The sequence below is a fragment of the Homo sapiens genome, chromosome 3, assembly GCF_000001405.40.
Source record: "Homo sapiens chromosome 3, GRCh38.p14 Primary Assembly".
Lineage (NCBI taxonomy): Eukaryota > Metazoa > Chordata > Mammalia > Primates > Hominidae > Homo > Homo sapiens.
Genome location: NC_000003.12, coordinates 38,872,592 through 38,896,214, shown reverse-complemented (window position 1 = coordinate 38,896,214; position 23,623 = coordinate 38,872,592). Strand labels below are relative to the sequence as shown.

The following is a 23,623-nucleotide window of genomic DNA, read 5'->3' as shown; positions in this document are numbered from 1 at the left end:
AACATTATGCAACCATGAGAAGAGCCAGCCTAAAACAAAGCCAACACTGAGGCAGGTAGAGTGAAAAGAGAGAACAAACCTGTATTCATGTCATAATTGGCCTGCTGTTCTATTTTCGAACTTCTTGTTATGCTACAGATTTTTGTTGTATAAGCTGGCTTGAGTCTGTTACTTGCAGCTGGAAGCATAGATATTTATGAGGAGGCTAATTAAGTGCACTTCATTGCCTTACTGCACAAGATCTTCAGGATCAAGTTGGGGTTATAGTGCAATATAATTAACTCTCTACACACGATAGCTTTATCCTAAGTACCTAATAAATGGTGTGCCTAGACACTAAGTGATACATACAAAAGCTCAGAAGAACAGGGCATCACCAGTGGGAGTGGGAGGAGAGCACCGAGAAAGGATTCGTGGAAGATTACAGAACTTGAGAAGACCACTTATATGGTAAGGAGGACTTAGACAGATAGAGGAGAGCTTAAGCAAAGATCCAGAGGTGGGAATTCTCACAGTGCAGCTGAGGAACTGTGACTAGACCCATTTACACCCACCAGGCACTTCTCTCCAAAGGCTGTCTATTGTCGAGCTGAAGAGAGCCACAAACAAAGGAATTTGAGGAGGTAAAGATGATGAATTAGAGAGTGTGTAATTATGAGCAAAGAACCCAGGTAGGAAGCTATTGGGATTATGTGAATTTGAAGTGATATGTGGTTCAACGAAAGAGTTGCATATTTGGTCCAACTCGCTTGGCTTGGCCCCAGTACGTTACTAAGGTTAGGGCAACAGGACCTAAAGAAACTGTAAAGTACATCATCTCACAAATATTCAAATAAGAAAGGACTGTACATTGGGCTTGAATATCAGATTCATATCCTTGTGGGAAATTCCAGCAAAAATCAAAGCTCACTATCCAGCTGTTCCTCAAGAAATGTACTCTCAATTTTGCCATATGGTTATCCCATTCTGCTTTACCCTGGTAAGGGTCTACTCATCCATATTATTTATATGTAGGGAAAGTGGACTTGGCTATTTGCACCCTTTAATTTCAATTTTTATTCTGTCTTACTGTTTCTATTTCTTTCTCAATCTTTTATTTATTGGATAGATGAGCTTTCTTAGGAGACAGTGGGACATAAAACTCTAATTTGATTCTGTTTTTAGTCTTGGGGAAAAGTTGTCCTGGAAACCCACTATATCTTTTCCTTTGCTAAACTTTCCTTTCTTCTTGCTACCCACCCCATTCCCAGGTGCTCAACCTCTTCATTGCCTTACTGCTCAATTCCTTTAGCAATGAGGAAAGAAATGGAAACTTAGAAGGAGAGGCCAGGAAAACTAAAGTCCAGTTAGCACTGGATCGATTCCGCCGGGCTTTTTGTTTTGTGAGACACACTCTTGAGCATTTCTGTCACAAGTGGTGCAGGAAGCAAAACTTACCACAGCAAAAAGAGGTGGCAGGAGGCTGTGCTGCACAAAGCAAAGACATCATTCCCCTGGTCATGGAGATGAAAAGGGGCTCAGAGACCCAGGAGGAGCTTGGTATACTAACCTCTGTACCAAAGACCCTGGGCGTCAGGCATGATTGGACTTGGTTGGCACCACTTGCGGAGGAGGAAGATGACGTTGAATTTTCTGGTGAAGATAATGCACAGCGCATCACACAACCTGAGCCTGAACAACAGGTATGAAGGTTCACACATAGACTTAAAGGTCATACAAAGCTGGAGTTATCACAGGGCACTGGTAGCCTGCCCTTTTCTAGGCACTATGCAAGGATAATAAGGGTACAAAACGTGGCTGCCCTTTGATACCCATGTGCACATCTCAGGACAGGTTCTTTATTGTGGTCCTGCAGGTGTGGCACAGATAGGAGGTGTCAGAAGAGTTCAGAGGGGAGCAAAATCAGAGTGGGCTGGGATGACAGGGGGAGTTCCTTTGGTTGAACTCTACAAGAAATGTAGAATTTGGACTGGCTGAAAAGTGAGGAAAAGGGGATTGGGAAGTAAACTGAATAGCATGTTTTGTTTGTTGGTTGGTTTGTTTGTTTTAGAAAAAAAAGGCAGTGCTGGGAACAAACTCAGTTTCTGCAGAGACCAATCTTGTGGGTGAGGAGTGGTGGGAGATGAGGGCTGTCAGGGAGTGTGAGGGTAATGGATATTGTATTAGTCTATTCAGGCTGCTATAACAAAATATTATAGACTGGGTAACTTCTAAACAAGAGAAATTTATTTCTCGCAGCTCTGAAGGCTGGGAAGTTTCAGATCAAGGCAGTGACAGATTTGATGTCTGAGGAGGGCCTGTTTACTGACTCATATTTGATAGCTATAAATTTCTCTCTAACCAATGTTTAGCTATATCAAATACATTTTATTTTCATTTTTATTTTCTATATATTTAATTATATTTTATTTTATCTTATTTTCTAATTCTTCTTATGATTTCTTCTTTGACCCACTGCTTATTTAAAAATGTGTTGTTTAATATTTATAAATATCTCAAATTTCTATTTGTTATTAATTTCGAATTTCACTCCATTGTGATCAGAGAACATACTTTGTACAATTTCAGCCCTTTTAAATTTTTGAGGCTTGTTTTGTGGCATAGTGTATTGTCTATCCTGGAAATGTTCCATGTGTACCTGACAAGAATGTGTATTCTGCCATTTGGAATTAAGTGTTCTATAGATGTCTGCTAGGTTTAACTGGCTTATAGTTTTGTTCAAATCTTCCATTTCCCTGTTGATCTTCTATCTAGTTGTTATTCATTCATTTCTGAAAATAAGGTATTGAGATCTCCAATGTTTATTGTGAATTGTCTGTTTCTTCCAACAGTTATGTCAATTTTCATTTCATATATTTTGGGTCTCTTCTGTTAGGTGTGTATATATGTTTATAAATGCTATATCTTCCCAATATTTTGGTTCTTTTATCATTATAAAATGTCCCTCTTTATCTCTAGTAAGTTTTTTGTTTTTAAATCTATTTTGTCTGATGTTAATAGAGTCATCCCAGCTTCTTTTATGGTTGCTGTTTGCATAACATGTCTTTTTCCATCCTTTTATTTTCAATCTATTTATATCTTTGAACCCAAAATGTGTCCTCTGCAGACAGTGTATAATTGGATCTTGTTTTCTTATCTATTCTGGCAATCTCTGCCTTCTGATTGGATTGGTTAAACCATTCATATTTAATGCTGTTGTTAATTCAGTTTATTTACTTCTCATATTTTCCTGTTTGTCTTCTATATGTCTTCCATGTTTTTTCCTTTATTATTTCTCTACTGCTTCACTTGCATTAAGTAAATATTTTCTAGTATAACATTTTAATAACTTTAGTTTTTTCAAAATCTTTTTGAATTATTTCCTTATTTGGGTACTCTAAAATTTGACATATACATCTAACTCATCAGAGTCTATCTCAGATTTATATTAATTCCAGTGAGCTATAGAAATATTACTCATATATAGCTCTATTTCCTCTCTCCTGTTTTTGTATTGTTTTAAATTCTACATATTATATTCATATATGTTAAAACCCAAACAACTTTTTTTTATTATTGCTTAATATAACTAGATGTCTACTGAAGGAGCTGAGAAAATAAAAGAAAATAAGTGTATATTTATAAGATTTATTTTAATAAACTTCTTAGTTACTCTTGGCTGTCTTCATTTGTTCCTGTGACTGTGAGTTACCTGCAGGTGTGATTTTCTTACTCCAATGCAACTTTGCTCCCACCCATATCCTTTGTGCTCTTATTAGCAAATATATTTTATTTCTATATGTTACATACCCAGCAACACAATTTTAAACATATTGTTTTACACAATTGCTTTTGAAATCAGCTAAAAGAAGAAAGGAAAAGAAATATATATTTTTTATCATACTTGTGTGTTGTATTACCATTTAGGGTCACTTGTTTTTTGCCTGTAGGATGTCCTTTAGTATTCTTTATAAGGTAGGCGAACTACCAAAGAATTCTCTGTGTTTTTCTGGGAATGTGATTATTTCATCTTCATTTTTGAAAGATAGCCTCACTAGATATAAAAATCTTGGTTCACTGTTGTTTTTTCTTTCAGCACTTTGAATATATCATATCACTGCCTTTTGGTCTCCATTATTTCTAATGCAAGGTCAGTGTTAATTTTATCAATGTCACCTTGTACATGATGAACCACTTTTCTCTTGCTACTTTCAAGATTTTCTCTTTTCTTTGTCTTTCAGCACTTTTACTATGATATGTCTAGGTGTGGATCTCTTTGTGTTTTTTCTACTTGGGGTTTCATTGGGCTTCTTAGATGTGGAGTGCTAGGATTTGAATGTGTCCTCTAAAGTTTATATGTTGGAGAATTAATTCCCAAAGTAACAATGTTGAGAGGTAAGACCTTTAATAGGTGATTAGATTATGAGGACTCTGGTCTCATGAATGGATTAATGCTGTTATTGTGGGAGTAGTTTAGTTACTGTGGAAGTGGGTTCCTAATAAAAGAATGAGTTTGCTGCCTTCCCTCCTTTCTCTTTCTTGCCATGTGGTGATGCCTTCTGCCATGTTATGATGCAGCAGGAAGTCCTTCACAAGATACTGGCCTGTTGATCTTGGTCTTCCCAGCCTCCAGAACTGTAGGAAATACATATCTGTTCTTTATAAATTACTAATTTCAGGAATTCTATTATAGCAGCATAAATTGGACTAAGACGTGTAGATTAATGTTTTCGATCAATTTTGAGGAGTCTTCAGCCATTACTTATTTAAGTATTTTTTCTGTTCCTTTCTCTCTTTCCTTTCTGGTTGGTGTGCTTAATGGTGCACCACATTTCTCTGAGGCTCTTTTTATTTTTCTTTCTTTTGTTTTCTCTGTGCTCTTTAGATTGCACAGTCTCTGTTGATTCATCTTTAAATTCACTGGTTCTTTCTTCAAATGTACTGTTGGTCTCTCTAGTGACTTTTTCATTTCAGTTATGATAATTTTCAACTCCAAAGTTTCTATTTGGTTCTTTTCAAAATATAATTTCTATTGATATTTTGTATTTGATTGTATATGGTCATAGTATCTTTTATTTCCTTAAGCATTGTACCTTTTAATTCTTTAAATATATTTATAATGGCTTCTTTGCATTCTTTTTCTATTAGCTCTGACATCTTGACCCTTTCATGTGCAGTTTCTGTTACTGACTGTTTTCCCCTGTGTGCGTCACACTTTCTTGTTTTTTGCACATTTCATATTTTTGTTTTGTTTTGAATTGGACATTTTAAGTAACATATTGTGGAAACTCTATAACTGATTCACTTTTCTCCTCTCTGAAGCTTCTTTATTAAATGGTAATCTGGCTAGACTATTTTAGTGGAATCTGCTCCCTCTCCAACCTATCCCCCTCCATTCACACACAATGTGAAAGCTTTGGTGTCACTCCTAGGAGAGTACATCCTTGGATGTGCACACGGTCAGTGTAGGATGACTGTTGTTTCAGCAAGGCTATCTTTGTCTCCTTTTGTGATCTCTCTGTTAAGCTGTCTGCCTCTTTTGGTATTACACTTCGATTTTAGGCTCAACTAATTGCTGGATAATTGCTCTATTTTCCTTGACAATGCCATGGGGCATAAATTGCTCAACTGTCTGATTCAATTAAATTCAGGAAGTGATAGCTTTTAAGCGCAGTCTTTGAGATTTGTTTTGACCCCAGGGGGACTCTCCTTAGCCATCACTTTCCGTAGTTCTTTGTGGTGAATTTGCTGACCTATGTTTTAGTTTCTTGCCTTTAATGAAGGAGAGCTACCAATCTCTTCTTATTTGCTTATGATCAAAATATCCAATATCCATTGTTTTCAAGAACACTCTTAGACTTATACTTCCCCACACCACTTTGTTTCAAATAAAGTCAGTTCTATGGAGAGCTTCAGAGCTCTTTTTTCTTATGAATTACCTCCCACTCTGGGCAAACTCTTTTAAGCACAATTCCAGGCACTTGGGCAGGGGCAGTAGCCTCTCAACTTCTCAGTTTCCTTCTTCCTTAATCCTCCCCACCCCCAGAGCTTTTGCCCTACAAGTAAGCTGGAATGAGGATGATTCTAGTATTCTTGGGCTGCCGCTTCTGGGATAAAGTCTCTGCCCTATGAGTGGAGGGCTAGATGGAAAAAGGGAGCCAACTTTTTGGCCACACTCACCAGAAATTTAGAGGCCTTAACTCAGAGTTGGAAGAGATAAGAAATGCTGATGGCCTGCAGCTGCTGCTGCTTTTTTTTTTTTCCATAACTCATGCATTTTTATTGGTAGGCATTTCATGGTGGTGTAATCATTTATGCATTGGAAAATGGGATTGTTTTTGATGATACTAAACAGCATTTATTTCTTTATTTTATTTTATTTTATTTTATTTTATTTTATTTTATTTTATTTTATTTTATTTTATTTTATTTTTTTGAGATGGAGTCTCGCTCTGTCGCCCAGGCTGGAGTGCAGTGGCATGATCTCCGCTCACTGCAAGCTCTGGCTCCCGGGTTCCTGCCATTCTCCTGCCTCAGCCTCCCGAGTAGCTGGGATGACAGGCGCCGGCCACCACACTCGGCTGATTTTTTTGTATTTTTAGTAGAGATGGGGTTTCACCATGTTAGCCAGGATGGTCTCGATCTCCTGACCTCGTGATCTGCTCTCCTCGGCCTCCCAAAGTGCTGGGATTACAGGCGTGAGCCACCGCGCCCGGCCAGCATTTCTTTATTTCAAATGCATTGAATGACCACCATGTGACAGGCCTTGCACTAAAATAAAATAAGTATGCAATAAGTAATTTTTTTTTTGAGGCGGAGTTTTGCTCTTGCCACCCAGGCTGGAGTGCAACGGCACAATCTCATCTCACTGCAACCTCTGCTTGCCGAGTTCAAGCGATTCTCCTGCCTCAGCCTCCCAAGTAGCTGGGATTACAGGTGTGTGCCACCATGCCTGGCTAATTTGGTATTTTTAGTAGAGATGGGGTTTCACCATATTGGCCAGCCTGGTCTTGAACTCTGGACCTCAGGTGATCCGCCCACCTCAGCCTCCCAAAGTGCAGGAATTACAGGCATAAGCCACCGTGCCTGGCCTGCAATAGGTAATTTAACATGTAGGCTGTATTTTTTTTAATGTAAGCATTTAAAAAGATTTTCCCCTTATGCAGATATCATTGATGTGCCTTTCCATTCAAAAGGCTCAATATCTTTTTTTTCAATTTCATTAAAAAAAATTTAATTTCAGTAGTTTTTGGGGAATAAGTGGTTTTTGGTTACATGGATAAGTTCTTTAGCAGTGATTTGTGAGATTTTGGTGCACCCATCACCACATCCCTTGATTGAGAGCTAGGGTAGAGGGAGCCCTATCTTCTTGGCCACCTTGGTCTAGAGTGGAGCCTCCATAAAACTTGGCTGGAAGGGATGGGGGGAGAGGTCAGATCATGGCTTAAGTGTCATCAATTTCTGCTGTTCTTACTGAATTTTAGTAGATTTTCTTGAACAAATGTTTCTTCATTTGCTGTGCACTCTCAGAATAATTTCTAGAGACTTTAAATTATTTTTAAAACAGTTTTCACCACTTATGCTTATTTCCCTAGGGAGAACGTCCGCAGAGATTATCATGCTATCATCCAGGAAGTGAAACTCTATGTAACTTCTTTATTAAATTCTATATGTATTAATTTAAAGACATTTTCAGATTATTATGTAACTTTCATCTTTTTCTCAAGTGAATTCACCTCCTAGTTGTTAATTTTAGGAAGTCTACTGATTTTATGTTTGTTTCCTCATATATTTTGGAATGTTAGCTTAAAAGCTCATCTTTAGTGGGAAGATCTGTCATTCTCTTTGCAGTCTAAGTTCTATGATTGTCTGTAATAAATCCTTCTGTGGCATCCATTTCAGATCCATGTCTTCTATCACCAGCTTTGGGTTGTTGTCTAATAATGATACAAGTCATATTGCAGATCCAGTCACTGAACCAGTGGGTACTTTTGCCCAGGTCCCATTTCTGAGGTTGTACTTCTTCCTGTCTCCCTACGTATGCAGCTTTATACAATTGTAATCATAAGCGTTTGCTGCGACATTTGTGTTTTTTGGCTTTCTCTCTTAAGTGCAAAAACTTTACCTCAGCCCACAGTTTCAAGCCTTAAATATAGCTCTGGTTCCCTTCCTCATCTAGGGTACTTTTAGACACCATTACCTGCTATCTTATTTAAATTCTTACTACTTTATATTTCTTTTCTGTGTCTAGTCCACAGACAGGTTACCCCTTTTTGTATGTGTATGTTTGTGAGGTATATTCGTGGCTATATTTGTATGTGTGTGTATTTTTACATATGCTATTACATGTGTGGAGAAATGTTTCTGAATCATGACCTTATAATGTCAGAGTTGCAAGAGTCTTCACATAGATGTTAGGATAAAACATTCACCCAAGATGTGACTGTAACCAGCAAAAGGATCCGTCCGGCTGCTAGCTGCTTATGAAAAGAATTCAAAATAATAACAAATTATGATAAGAAAGAGCAATATTCTCTTATTATCTGTGCCAGCAAGGGGAAGAGCAGAGACCCATTCTACTCTTCAATTTGTGGAAGGAATGCGGGGGTTTTTATTTTATTTTATTTTTTATTTTTTTATTTTATCATTATTATACTTTAAGTTTTAGGGTACATGTGCACAACGTGCAGGTTTGTTACATATGTATACATATGCCATGTTGGTGTGCTGCACGCATTAACTCGTCATTTAGCATTAGGTATATCTCCTAATGCTATCCCTCCCCCCTCCCCCCACCCCACAACAGTCCCGGAATGCGGGGGTTTTTAAAGAAAGGGTTTGAGATGCAGAATAGGCAAGAGGGGCTAGGAGGTGCCAGGTGGTGTGACTTGCTCCAGTGGCCCCTCTTGAATTATTGTCCCATGTGGTGAAGGGGCTGGTGCCATCATGGATCCTGCCAGGTTATAAATTAGTTGCAGTCAATCTTGTAGTCACTCTACAGCCTGAAGTAGGTTCTGTTCTTGAAGTAATCTTGTTGGGGAGAGAATTCTAGAGGTACCTGGTCCCTATCAGGATCTGACTCTCGAAGCTTCTAAGAAAACATATGACCACATAAAAGAACATGGCGTGTACTTAAAAAGCATTTAGGTAAATAAATGTGCATAAGGTATGGGAATATAGTATGGGAAAGGAAAGGCAGTGGAGGCTCACAGCACATTCCAAGGCTGTATTTCAAGATAAGAGGTAACACATATGCAGGTTGTCTCAAAGTTGTATCTTGAGACTTGGAGGGGAAAGAGGAAGAGGAAAAGAAGAAAAAAATGTTTAAAACACAGTTCGAGGCTCAGCTGCCAAGCTGCTTGGTTACATGACTGTACACATCCTTATTAGATATTCCTGTAGGTCATCAGAACAAATTTATTTTTCAGTTTTATGTAGTGATATGTTTTATTATTTTTCTTTATGTCTTTTAGTTTCCTGTTTTGCTAAGGAAACTCTCTGTACCCCACATGATAGCAAGTTATTTTTCAAATTTTTCTTTTAAAATGTTTACCCATTTATTTTTACATCAGAATGTCATAAGATTATATATTTTATTTTTACTATATTATGGCATTGTGTACCATTTATTAAATAATTTATTATCTAGCCATTGAATTGAAAGAGCACATTTAAAATATATTAAATCCCCATGTAAATTATATTAAATCTCCATGTAAGTTTTATTTCTGAATTACTTGCGGAGTTTTGTACCAGAACCATACTGTTTTGATTATGTATCTTTGTAACAAGTTCAGTATCTGTTTCCTCTAGTAGTTTTCCCAGAATTATATTATGTTGAGTTTTTCCAGGAGCAGTTTCTAAAGAGAAAAAAGAGTAATAATGTCAAAGGCTTATTCTCATGACAAAGAGAAAACCAAATAGCATTCAAACTTCTTTCATCTTAAGTGACATGTCCAGGAGGAATATTAATTCTATTCTGGGCTCTCTGTGTTAGGCCTATGAGCTCCATCAGGAGAACAAGAAGCCCACGAGCCAGAGAGTTCAAAGTGTGGAAATTGACATGTTCTCTGAAGATGAGCCTCATCTGACCATACAGGATCCCCGAAAGGTAATTTTCCTAGGATGTTGTCAGAGGAACTTGTGGCTCATCCACACACCTTCTCCAGGATAGTTATTATGGAAAAATGGCACAATTAATGCAGAGAAAATTGCAAGAATCGAGTTTTGAGCAAAAGTCTAGGCCAGGTTTCTCAACTTTACTAGTATGACATTTGAAGCAGGACAATTATTTGTCATGGTGAGCTTTTCTGTGAATTGTAAGATGTTTATCCATATCCTTGGCCTCTATGCATTTGATGCCAGTAGCATCCGCCAGTTAAGGTAATGAAAAATGTCTCTAGACATTGCCAAAATGTCTCCTGGAGGGCCAAAGAAATAAGAACCACTGGTCTAGGCCTATTATTCCAGGAGGTGAGACAGTGGAAAATTATAGTCTCAGTAAAGTAGCCTTCTTCTCATCACATAATTGGAGTTAGGCAGCCTATCAGGGTTATGATCTGTAGGGAGAAAACGTGGAGGTACTGTATCTTCATATGCATTGCTATTCCTCAGCTATAGAGATGAGCTAGAGAGTTCTCTTCTGAAGTCAGGCTGGTCATAGCACTTAGAAAAGGACCCAGCAGGAGGGGTGTTTCTTGACACCTCTCATCCTAGAAACCTTTGCCTAGTTCATTTCATCCTTAAAAAATCAGACAATGAGAAACTCCGTACTACTATGGTGAAAGAAGGTCTTAGTAAAAGGCACCCCCTTCGTTTTGTTCTGATGTGCAGAAGTCTGATGTTACCAGTATACTATCAGAATGTAGCACCATTGATCTTCAGGATGGCTTTGGATGGTTACCTGAGATGGTTCCCAAAAAGCAACCAGAGAGATGTTTGCCCAAAGGTAAGTGGCAGTATTTCTGCATCCAGTTCACAGAATCTTTGGATGGGGTTTCTGTTCTTCTTTGAAGCTCTGTGGTTTTAGTAGATATCATCTTTCTACTTCTATTGGAGACAAAAGCAATGAGAGGGCACCCGTAGATTCTTGAGGCGATTGTCGGATCTAGGCAGAGGGGATTTCAGGAAATTCTTGCTTTAATTGGGCTCCTCTCACATGGCCCAAAATGCCAGGTAAACACTCTGGAAAACTCTCTTAGAAAGCCCACTGGGCCAATATGTCTGCCACTTTCTATGGTTCCCAGGGCATTCAATGTCAGGGTGTATTTGAGGTGAAAGACCAAGAAAAGAGTTTAGACATTGTAGTCAGGATCTTTAGCTTAGAAGCCAGACTGCCTGAGCTCAAATTCTGGCCTTGCCACTTATGAGCTGTGTGACTTGTTCAATTTAGTTAACCTCTCTGTGCTTTATTTCTAAAATGAGGGTAATAATAGTATCCAAAGCAAAGAGTTGTTGTGACTATTAAATGAGTGAATATAAATCACTTAGAAGAGCATCTGGAACAAAAATAAGCAATCAATAAATGCAGGCTTTCCTAATTCCTTGAGTGGATATAGTGGCTTTTTCCTATAGGCCTTTACTATTTGTTATATTCATTGTAGTGAACTTATTTGCACTGGTTTCCCCCATGAGGTCCTTAAAAACAAAGGCAGTGACTTCATCAGCATTGTATCTCTAGTGTAAGAATAGAAGCCGGCCCAGAAATGGGTTCAACAAATGTTGATAAATAAATAAGTGAAACAAATTAATGAATGAATCTAAAAAAATTATCTATAAGTTTAGGATTAAATTGGGTCCAGAAGCAACACAAATAACAGGTTTCAAACTCACATTCCAGGTTGCTTAACAGCTCCAAAGCTGGACAGGAGTTGGATTAAGGATTTCCAGTAGATTGCAGTTCTCCTCATTTATGTTTGCACTGGCTCTTGAGGTGTGCATATGATGTCAACAGTGGAGATGAGAAAGAAAGGTGGTTTTATCAAAGAAGGGAGGAGTGGGATAAAAGCCAGGAAAAAAGTGTAGTCTTTTAGGAAGATGAACCTACTGATGTTTTTGGAAGAAGAAAAGAGGCAGAGTGAAGAGAGCCCATAGTGGTTTAAGAAGATGAGGAAAGGAGCAGAATGTTATAATCATCATGAATAAGGATCAGCAGAATTTGTACAAGGGGAGGAGGAGAAAAGGTGGAAAGGGCAATGTGGTCTATATTGAAGGCCTGTGTGTGTTCAGAACAAATGCTCAGCTCTTTGTAAACGTCTCGACATTTGATCAAATTCTTTCGTGTATGACCTGAGAGGTTCACAAAGCCTGTGGCCATCCTACCTCATTCCCTGGAGTCCTCCAGACATGATCTCTTTATGATTACCAAAAAAATTGCTGCATAACAAACAACTACAAAACCTCAGTGGCATAAAATAGTAAACATGTGCCTGCAGGATTCAGCTGATCTTGATTGGCTTCATTCATGCAAGTGTTATCTAGCCTGGGCTCAACAGGGCAACATGGCTCTACTCCACATGTCTATCATCCTCCTTCCAGACCCAATGGGGTAGCCTGAATTTGCCTTTTTTTATGGAGATGGCACAAGACAGCAAGTGGAAGCATGCAAGGCTTTTCAAGACCTGGGCTCAGAACTGGCACAGTGTGACTTCCATTCCACTCTATTGGCTAAAGCAAGTCACATGGCAGGGACCAGATTTAAGATGTTAGAAAAAGATGCTCTACTTCTTTAATGGGAGCAACTGCAGGTCGCATGGCAAGGGGCATGAACACAGAAAGGGGTGAAGAGTTGCATTTTAATGCAGTTTATTACAGACACTAATGATAGTGCTACCATTAATTCCTTTCAGGCTTTGGTTGCTGCTTTCCATGCTGTAGCGTGGACAAGAGAAAGCCTCCCTGGGTCATTTGGTGGAACCTGCGGAAAACCTGCTACCAAATAGTGAAACACAGCTGGTTTGAGAGCTTTATTATCTTTGTGATTCTGCTGAGCAGTGGGGCACTGGTAAATCATCATTGTCTTGTGGAGACATTGGGCATCAGGGCAGCTGGGGAAGCTGCACTCTGACTTGGCTTCTCGTGGGACTGTGAATATGGGAGACCAGACAGAAGTGGTCTCTGATGCTGCTGGTTCCCGCAGTGGGCAGGGTTTTGCACAGCTTCTGAAATCGTGCTCAACTGGGATATCACCAAGCAAAGATGCTTTATCTGTGTGGAAGACTAACTAAAACCAGCACTTTAAAGTGGCCACTAGAGTCTGGTCCTTGATCATCTACCTCTCATTTTTGGGGGATTTCTAGACATTTTCACTGTATCCTACATAGTTCTTCCTCTAGACAGCAGTGCTTCTACTCTCCCTGTTACCATAAGCCATAGTGCTGTTTTCTGAAAGGTAAAATATTATGGGAGGGAGTTACAGGGACCAGATTAGGATATAATAAGTTGCCTTGGTATTTTCTGTCATTCATGATCCCTTGAAAGAAAGGACAAGGAGATGTTGCTTTATATGCATGGTCAAAGTGTGGTATGAGTCCCAATGAGATTTAGAAATAACTCTGAACCCATCAGCTTCTATAGCCATAGAGCTATCCACTCCTTTATGCTCTCTCTCCACACCTTCTGGTCCTTCTTGTCTCCCTTTCTCCTCCCTGCTAGGGAGGGATAGTATCTTTTCTCTTATCACCTGCATATTTCGCCCTCTCCTTTTCTATTTTCTGCTTTTTTCTATCATGCATCTTCCCTTAAAATGATCATACAGTAATGTGGAGCTAAATAATAGGGAACCAAATTCTCTTACTGTTTGACATAACAAAGTTATGAGTTTGTTATGAGAGTTTGGTTCCATATTACTAAACCCAGGAGCCTTGGGTTCTCCCCTGCTAAGAGTGACAGAACATTTCACAGTGAATCACTAGCAAGTGGAAAAAGACAAGGAAATGTCTTGCTCCTACACCCCATAGCTTCTGGTTAGTGTTTTACACTTGTGTGATCTCTAGGTGAAAAGAGATGAATACATACCAGAGCCCACCGGGGACTGTGATCAACATACATGTCCATTTGTCTACTTACTACAGTGTAAATTATTCTTCAAATAGAAAAGCAGATTTCTCTAAAACCATCCCAGAGAATTCCCTTAATAAATTTTTATTGTTAATCTTGGGTCTAGGGTTACCTGTAGACTTTCTGGTGACTACATTTTCACTGGCTGTCTACTGTTACTCAAGTGTAGGGTTTCTTGTATTTATTCCACAAATGGTACTTATGATATAGGCAGTGGGAAAGCAGTGACAGTGCCAAAAGGCCACAGCAAAAATGCCCCATGGTGCCATAAAAAGAAAATGTATGATCAGAAATGTAGCAGAGGGCACACAACTCCAGTTCTTATCTGCCTTCGGAAAGGCAGGTGTAGGCTGGGCAGAGCAAAGCTGAACACACAATGCAGAGGGTGCCAGGGGAAGGACCCAGCCCATATTTCTCTGTACATATTTGTAGAGAATGAGAACAAGAGACATCAAGTTGTTTGCCACTATATGTGTCTATCAGCAGCAGCAGCAGCATCACCTGGAAGCTTGTTAGAAACGCAGAGTATTACATTGTAACAAGCAGTCCATTGTAACAAGTTCCCTAGGTGATTTGGGGTTCATTAGAGTTTGAGAAACTCTGGTCTAGGCAACTATGTAATAATAAGAGCTTCCTGTGTCAGAAAATGGCCTAGATATAATGTGGAAGCCTCTGAAGCTCAATTGCAGGTATAAGCGTGCTCATCCATTGAGCTAACTCAGATCTGCTGAACCAGCTTACTGGTAAGCTTCCCAAATAAGGGAGGAAATGAGCACCCAATACCATTCAGATTTGTTTATCCTCAAGAGGCAAACAAACGAAGTCCCTGACCTCCAGGAGCCTGAAGTCTAGTAGGAAAGACAGCTGGAGTGATTATAGACCAGAAAGTATAGATCAAGATAGATAGAACAATTAAGTGGTCTACTCAGGGAAGCAGTGGGTGACATGGGAGCATGTAGGATGGGAACCTAACCCAATCCTGCTGGAACGGGACAGTTTCCTATAGAAAATATCAGCTAAGCTGAAATCTTAAAGCTGAAGAGCTGAAAGAGCAGAGGATGAGATAGAGGGCCTTCTTCAGCCAGAAACCAATTTGGCAATTGGAAGTGAGACTGTTTTACTCTTTTGCATTCTTTTTTTCACCCCAGGACTTTGGAGCTGTGGGCTTACCCTAGTCTCCAACAGCAAGGATGATTCCCTTCCTGCCTTCAATGTTGACGTAAATTTCATGGGCAGCTTTAGTAACAGGCCGTCTTCCTTTCTTTCATTCTCAGTAACTCTGTAAAGGCCAAAAGGACAGCTTATACGCTAGTTATATAGACCCTGTAGAATCACATACAGTTTGCGTGAGGGAAGTGTTTGGATGTAGCATTAAAAAGGGTCTCTCTGAAAGCCAGGATCTCTTTTTCATAATTACAAATAACAATGTTTAATATTCAAAGTAATTTACACTGGGAGCTTTAGCCTAGAGTGTTCCAAATTTTGTTAATGTCATGGCACACATAAGAAATGACACTATTTGTAGGGAATGGTAAGGTAAATGGATAAGGCTGTTTGTAGGGATAGATGAGGGGCATCAGGGTTGGCAGGATTTAGAGAACGGGCTAAGGCACTTGGACTTAATGTTATAAGCAATAAAGAGACACTGAATTAATCCACCAAGGCAATTGGGAGGATGAGAGATGGTCTATGCCACTGGGTGGTCCTGGGAATGTTGGCAAGACATATTTGGCAGGAGTTGAAAAGATGAGGAAGCCCAGGAAATAATGTGCTGATCCATTAGGAAGATGTTTTAATATTCAGGGGACCAGTAATAAGCAGTTGAGGAACTATTGTGACAACAGAAGAAAGAAGATTTTCCTTCTTCCATTTTTACTTACTCAAGGAATGGATTCCATTGGAAAAGTTTAGCCTTAATATCTTTTGAGCAGAACCTCATTACGAAGAGAGATACCAGTTTTTATTCATATAAGGAAGAAAAACAAAAAGTAAAGTTACCAAGGAGTTCTTTGCAAATATTCAACCTGGCCTATGGCTATGCTTTTTCATTTCAGATATTTGAAGATGTTCACCTTGAGAACCAACCCAAAATCCAAGAATTACTAAATTGTACTGACATTATTTTTACACATATTTTTATCCTGGAGATGGTACTAAAATGGGTAGCCTTCGGATTTGGAAAGTATTTCACCAGTGCCTGGTGCTGCCTTGATTTCATCATTGTGATTGTAAGTTTACCATCTCTGTGTCCCACACAGGCTGGGGTAGTGGTTAAGGCAGGGATCATATGGAGGCTGCTTTTCCTGTGTGCCGCATATGGATGTCTGTCTAAAATAGTTTTTCTTGTTATCATTGCCTCTTCACAGTACTTGTAAGTAGTTGTCATTTGTCTGTAAGCAGTTTAGCCTTTCCTAGGTCCCGCTCATCATACACTACACTTTATATGCTCACCACTACAACCTTTCCCATGATGGGATTCATTCACTTCTCTCCATAAGCACTGTTTATGTATAATATGTACCTAGAATAACTTTCAGTATCCTCGATTTTTTCTTCTTCCAACTTTCTATTTCTTTTCAAGACTTCTCAAAGCTGGTCAGCAGCCAATAGACTAGGCTAATATCCATCTTAATTGTCAAGCAGCATAAGAGGATTGTTCACATACAGTCTCTCATTTAATATGCATGACAATGTTCTGAATTAAGCAGCATTGTATGACACCTCCCACACTGTATACAAGGAAACCTGAAGCTCAGAGGATTATCAATTTGTTTCAGGTCATAGAGCTGATAAGTGGTGAAATTGGGATTCACGTGTCTAGCTGTATGACACAAAAGCTAATAATAGTATTAGTGGATCACATTTATTGAGTGCTTTCTCTGTATCAAGTACTCTTCCATATGCTCCAAATGCCTTCTCTCTTTTAGTTGTCATAGCCACTCTGTGGCAGGTGCTACTATTTTTGTATATTCAGAGAAAGAAAGTAAGTCATAGAGAGGCTAAGAAACATGTTCAGGATTGCCCAGCTAGAAGTGGTGGAGGTGAGATACAAACCTCGTAAGCCTCACTCCAAAGCTCTTGATTTAACATTACATCCTTTTTTTAAGATTAATTTTATGTTTACTGATACATAGTAGATGGACATATTTTCAGGATACATGTGATTATGTAATACCTTTATATAATTAAAACTGGTGCAACCTAGTAAGTCTCACTCCAGGGCCCTTGATTTTAACATTACCTCTTTCCATCATGATGTAATTAGTTAAACTTTGTCCCTGCTATGCAAGGAAGTAGATAAGACAAATATCTGAGCATAAACCATGTGGTCAGGAAACCCCACTGGAGAACCATAATGTTGTTGGTTAGCACAAATAGACCATGTGTTCATTTAATATGGACATCAATATTCTGAGTTAATCAGTATTACATGACATCTACCACATTACTAACAAGAAAACCAGAGGCTCAGAGACAAGGAAACAGAAGCTCATTGTGGTTCAGGCATTTTAGAAAGGTATAAATGCCATAGAAACTACAACAGGATTCAAAGATGGGAATAAAAACATCCACGTTTGTCAGTCCTATTAATTTCTAGAGAGCAAATAACTCTGTACGTATTATCTTAATAGATTATAGTAAAAAGAAAACCCTAAAAACTGTGTGAACAGATGATTGTTATCTCCATTATAGGGAACTCTGTTTTACCGGATACAAGCCCTACATTTAGGAGCCTGGGTCCTAAAGCTAATTGGTCTACCCTCTTTTTGTGTAACCTTAAGCAAAACATTTCCCCTCTTTTGACAATAATTTTCTCACAGGTAAAAATGAGGATGTGGACTATAAATTGCCCAAATTCACTGAATACATAATAGAAAGCTAGTGATAGTTTCACTAGAAATCTAGTGATCGCCATTAAAAATATCAAAACAGTTGTCCAAAGCCACACTGTCAAAAAAGGGTACCAGGCTGAGATGGGTGGGTTTATTTATTTATTTATTTATTTATTATATTTCAATAGGCTTTCAGGGAACAGGTGGTGTTTGGTTACCTGAATAAGTTATTTAGCGGTGATTTCTGAGATTTTGGTGCCCCATCGCCCGATCAGTGTACACTGTACCTAATGTAGTCTTTTATCCCTCACACCCTCATTTCCCCTGAGTCCCCAGAGTCCATTGTATTATTCTTACAACTTTGTGTCCTCTTAGCTTAGGTCTCTCTTATGAGTAAGAACATAAAATGTTTGGTTTTCCATTCCTGAGTTACTTCACTTAGAATAATAGTCTCCAATTCCATCCAGGTTGCTGTGAAAGCCACTATTTTGGTCCTTTTTATGGCTGAGTAGTATTCCATGGTGTATGTATATAGTATATACCAAAGACTATATATATATGGTATATACACCATATATATACCATATATATAGTATATACACCATATATATACCATATATATAGTATATACACCATATATATACCATATATATAGTATATACACCATATATATACCATATATATAGTATATACACCATATATATACCATATATATAGTATATACACCATATATATACCATATATATAGTATATACACCATATATATACCATATATATAGTATATACACCATATATATACCATATATATAGTATATACACCATATATATACCATATATATAGTATATACACCATATATATACCATATATATAGTATATACACCATATATATACCATATATATAGTATATACACCATATATATACCATATATATAGTATATACACCATATATATACCATATATATAGTATATACACCATATATATACCATATATATAGTATATACACCATATATATACCATATATAGTATATACACCATATATATACCATATATATAGTATATACACCATATATATACCATATATATAGTATATACACCATATATATACCATATATATAGTATATACACCATATATATACCATATATATAGTATATACACCATATATATACCATATATATAGTATATACACCATATATATACCATATATATAGTATATACACCATATATATAGTATATACACCATATATATACCATATATATAGTATATACACCATATATATACCATATATATAGTATATACACCATATATATACCATATATATACACCATATGTCTCTTTCTCTCTCTATATATATATCACATTTTCTTTATCCACTGGTTGATTGATGGGCATTTGGGCTGAATCCATATTTTTGCAATTGCGAATTGTGCTGCTATAAACGTGTGTGCAAGTGTCTTTTTCATATAATGATTTCCTTTCTTCTGAGTAGATACACATTAGTGGGATTGCTGGATCAAATGACAGATCTACTTTTAGTTCTTTAAGGAATCTCCACATTGTTTTCCATAGTGGTTGTACTAGTTTACATTCCCACCAGCAGTGTAGAAGTGTTCTCTTTTCACCACATCCACGCCAACATCTATCATTTTTTGATTAGTGCCATTGTTGCAGGAGTAAGGTGGTATCACATTGTGGTTATGATTTGTATTTCCCTGATAATTAGTGATGTTGAACATTTTTTCCTATGTTTGTTGGCCATTTGTAAATCTTCTTTTGAGAATTGTCCATTCATGTCCTTTGCCCACTTTTGGATAGAATTATTTGTTTTTTTACTTGCTGATTTGATTGAGTTCTTTGTAGATTCTGGATATTAGTCCTTAGTCAGATGTATAGATTGCAAAGATTTTCACCCACTCTGTGGATGTCTGTTTACTGTGCTGATTGTTTCTTTTGCTGTGCAGAAGCTTTTTAGTTTTAAGTTCCATCTATTCATCTTTGTTTTTGTTGCATTTGCTTTTGGGTTCTTGGTCATGAAGTCTTTGCCTAAGCCAATGTCTAGAAGAGTTTTTCCCATGTTATCTTCTAGAATTTGTATGGTTTCAGGTCTTAGACTTAAATCCCTGATCCCTCTTGAGTTGATTTTCATATAAGATGAGAGATGAGGATCCAGTTTCATTCTCTTACCTGTAGCTATCCAGTTATCCCAGCACCATTTGTTGAATAGGGTGCTCTTTTCCCAATTTATGTTTTTGTTTGCTTTGTCGAAGATCGGTTGGCTGTAGGTATTTGGCTTTATTTCTGGGTTCTTTATTCTGTTCAATTGGTCTGTGTGCCTATTTTTATACCAGTACCATGCTGTTTTGGTGCCTATGGCCTTATAGTACAGTTAGAGGTCTGAAAATGTGATGTCTCCAGATTTGTTCTTTTTGGTTAGTCTTGCTTTGGGTATGCAGGCTCTTTTTTGGTTCCATGTAAATTTTAAGATTGTTTTTTCTAGTTCTGTGAAGAATGATAGTGGTATTTTGATGGGAATTGCATTGAATTTGTAGATCGCTTTTGGTAGTAGGGTCATTTTCACAATGTTGATTCTACCCATCCATGAACATGAGATGTGTTTTCATTTGTTTGTGTCATTGATGATTTCTTTCAGCAGTGTTTTGTAGTTTTCTTTGTAGAAGTCTTTCACTTCCTTGGTTAGGTATATTCCTAAGTATTTTATTTTATTTTATTTTCAGCTAGTGTAAAAGGGGTTGAGTTCTTGACTTGTTTCTCAGCTTGGTCACTGTTGGTGTATCACAGTGCTACTGATTTGTGTACATTGATTTTGTATCCTGAAACTTTGCTGAATTCATTTGCCAGTTCTAGGAGTTTTTTGGATGACTCTAGGATTTTCTATGTATACAATCATATCATCAAGAGGCCCAGATGGTTTTGCAGGTAAGTTTTACCAAACTTCCAAGGAAGAATTAATCTCATCTTATTCAAATTGTTACAAAGAATAGACAAAAGAAGGAAAGCTTGCAAATTTATTTAATGAGATAAACATAATATTGATAATAAATGAATAGAACAGAAATGAATCAAATAAGAAAATAATCTTACAATTATATATCTTTGCAAATCACAGATAAAGCACTCAACAAATGTGGTTTACTATTACTATTATTAGCCTTGACATCATGCAGACTGTGGTGTGAATCTGAAATTCACCACTTATCAGCTGTATGACCTGAAACAAGTTGCTGATCCTTTGAGCTTCAGGTTTCCTCATCTATAATATGGTAGATGTTGCAAAGTGCTGCTTAGCTTGGGATATTGTTGTACAGATTAAATGAGAGAATGTATGTGAACAGTTCTATAATATTTATTGTCAATCAAGATTATATAAAATTACCATCATAATTTTTATTAGAAAAGCATAAACCACAAAAAGATACACAATTCAACTACATCAAAATGTAGTAAAACTTTTATTTTTGTATTCAACAATACTCTAATTACAGTTACAAACCAACTAGAACCTGGGAGACAGTATTTTCCACAACAGATCATTATTATTCACAACATATACAAATTTCCTACAGATTCACAGGAAAAAACAACCCAGAGTAAGAATGGGAGAAGTATACAAACAGCCAATTCACAAAAGGAATAAACGTATGATGAAATATACACTAGTTCTATCACCAGTTAGCACAGAAGTGCATATTAAAATGAGAGGCCTCTTTTTACTCATTAGATTGGAAAACAAAATATATTGTTTTGAAACATGGTCTCACTCTGTCATCCAGGCTTGAGTGCAGTGGCAACCTCTGCCTCCCAAGCTCAATTGATCCTTTTGCCTCAGACTCCTAAGTAGCTGGGACTACAGGCGCCCACCACCATGCCCAGCTAATTTTTGTATTTTTTATGGAGACAGGGTTTTACCATGTTGCCCAGGCTGGTCTCAGACTCCTGAGCTCAAGCTATCTGCCTGCCTCAGCCTCCCAAAGTGCTGGGATTACAGGCTTGAGCGACTGTGCCCAGCCATGGCAAAAATTTTAAAGTTGGATAACATCGATATTTAGAAGGATATAGGAAAATGCCATGGCAAAAATTTTAAAGTTGGATAACATCGATATTTAGAAGGATATAGGAAAATGCGATCTCAAACCACTGCTAATAATTTAATTGGTACAGCCACTGTAGGGAATATTTCGCACTATATTAAGTAAAAATCACAAATGACCCAACTCACAATCCACAAATATCACTTGTTATAGATCCAAGGAGAACTCTTGCATATGTACCCAAGAAAAATGCACACATCTGCCCAGTGTACTGTTGTGCATAATACTGTCCAGTGTACTGTTTTGCATAATAGGAAAGAAATGGAAATAACCTAGGTATTCACCAAGGAGGAATGGATCCGTAAAACATGAAGATTTATATGCTGTACTATTCCTCAACAGTTACAAGGAGCAAACCATAAGAATATAATCAACATGATGATTTCAAAAACAGTGCAGAGTGATAAATGCAAGTTAGATTTTAAAAATAAGATAAAACTAGTAGAAGACTTCTCACTTGAAGAGTACAGTATGGTGGGAAAGAATGTGGGTGTTTCTATGTGTCTCACTGATACCTGCAAGTCTGATGGAACAGAAACTTGGGTAAGGTTTAAGGTAAAGAGGTGTATAAGGTCTCTGTAGGAACATCCCTTCTCACCAACTATGACAATGATTTGGTAAAACAGAAGAATTGCTAAACTTTGCCATCTGTTTTCATCTGGCTAGGAATAAGTGGAGTATTTGCGAGAAAGCTACTTAATAACTTAATAACTTAAATAACTCTCCAAAAGTGGTGCCATTGTAAACAAAAAGCCCACTAAAAACATTATAAATACACTGTAAATTGATTATAAATTTCAAAATCTTAATATTCTGTCATATTAACTCAATTTCTCTTCACTACTACAATGAGGTTGGCAAGATTTGTGAGGAATGTTTTTAGGTAATAGTGAACTCTGACATCAGCTTAGTCAGGACTATCCTGATTCACTTCCTATCCAGCTGAGCAACTCTTCTTCCAAGCTGAGCCTCTGAAAACTCTCCATAATAAGAATGGCTGAAGATCTGCAGCAAGCAGATTCAACTCAAGCTCAGCATTGATTCCATTGTGATAATAGAAGCAAATCCTAATTCCTCATATGAAAGCCAATACCTTCTCGAATTGTCCTCTACTGAGCATCTGTAAATATTGTTAAGATTTAATTTGGTATACTTAACAGAGCTTTCTAATACTCAGTTCTGTCCTATTGAGAAGAAGCATATTGGGAGAGAAAATAGCATTTAATTCCCCAATAAGGAGCTATTTGGATTAGGGGAAATATTAGCAAATAATTTATTTTTTCCATGTAACTTTTTATTTTGATATCATTTCAAACTAAGAAAAATGTTGCAGGAAATAGTATAATGAAATCCACATATTCTTTCTTCAGGTTCACCAATTATTGTCACCCATCTGCTTTGTCATTTTTTTCTCTCTTTTTTTCCCCCTAAACTGCTTGAGATTAAGTTGCAAGCATCAAACCTATTACCCCTAAACATGTCAATGTATATTTCCTATCAAGGACAATGTCTCACATGATTACAATACAGTGATCAAAGTTAGAAATTTAACATTGATTCAATTAAAATCCACATCCATTTTCAAATTTTTCAAATTCACCATAAAGATCTTTGTTATGGCAATTGACTATCATAATAAATTT

The 23,623-nt window shown here is 37.4% G+C and overlaps 1 protein-coding gene across 7 annotated transcripts in view; it reads left to right on the top strand.

The window, feature by feature from the left end:
• Positions 1–23,623, top strand: part of SCN11A (sodium voltage-gated channel alpha subunit 11) — a 206,181-nt gene that overhangs the window by 155,730 nt on the left and 26,828 nt on the right. For all 7 annotated transcript variants that reach the window (NM_001349253.2, XM_047447378.1, XM_017005650.2 and 4 more), the window contains 5 exons: positions 1,251–1,682; positions 9,977–10,090; positions 10,813–10,927; positions 12,828–12,982; positions 16,092–16,265. In NM_001349253.2, the coding sequence (NP_001336182.1) occupies positions 1,251–1,682; positions 9,977–10,090; positions 10,813–10,927; positions 12,828–12,982; positions 16,092–16,265 (990 nt within the window). The remainder of the gene's footprint in view (positions 1–1,250; positions 1,683–9,976; positions 10,091–10,812; positions 10,928–12,827; positions 12,983–16,091; positions 16,266–23,623) is intronic.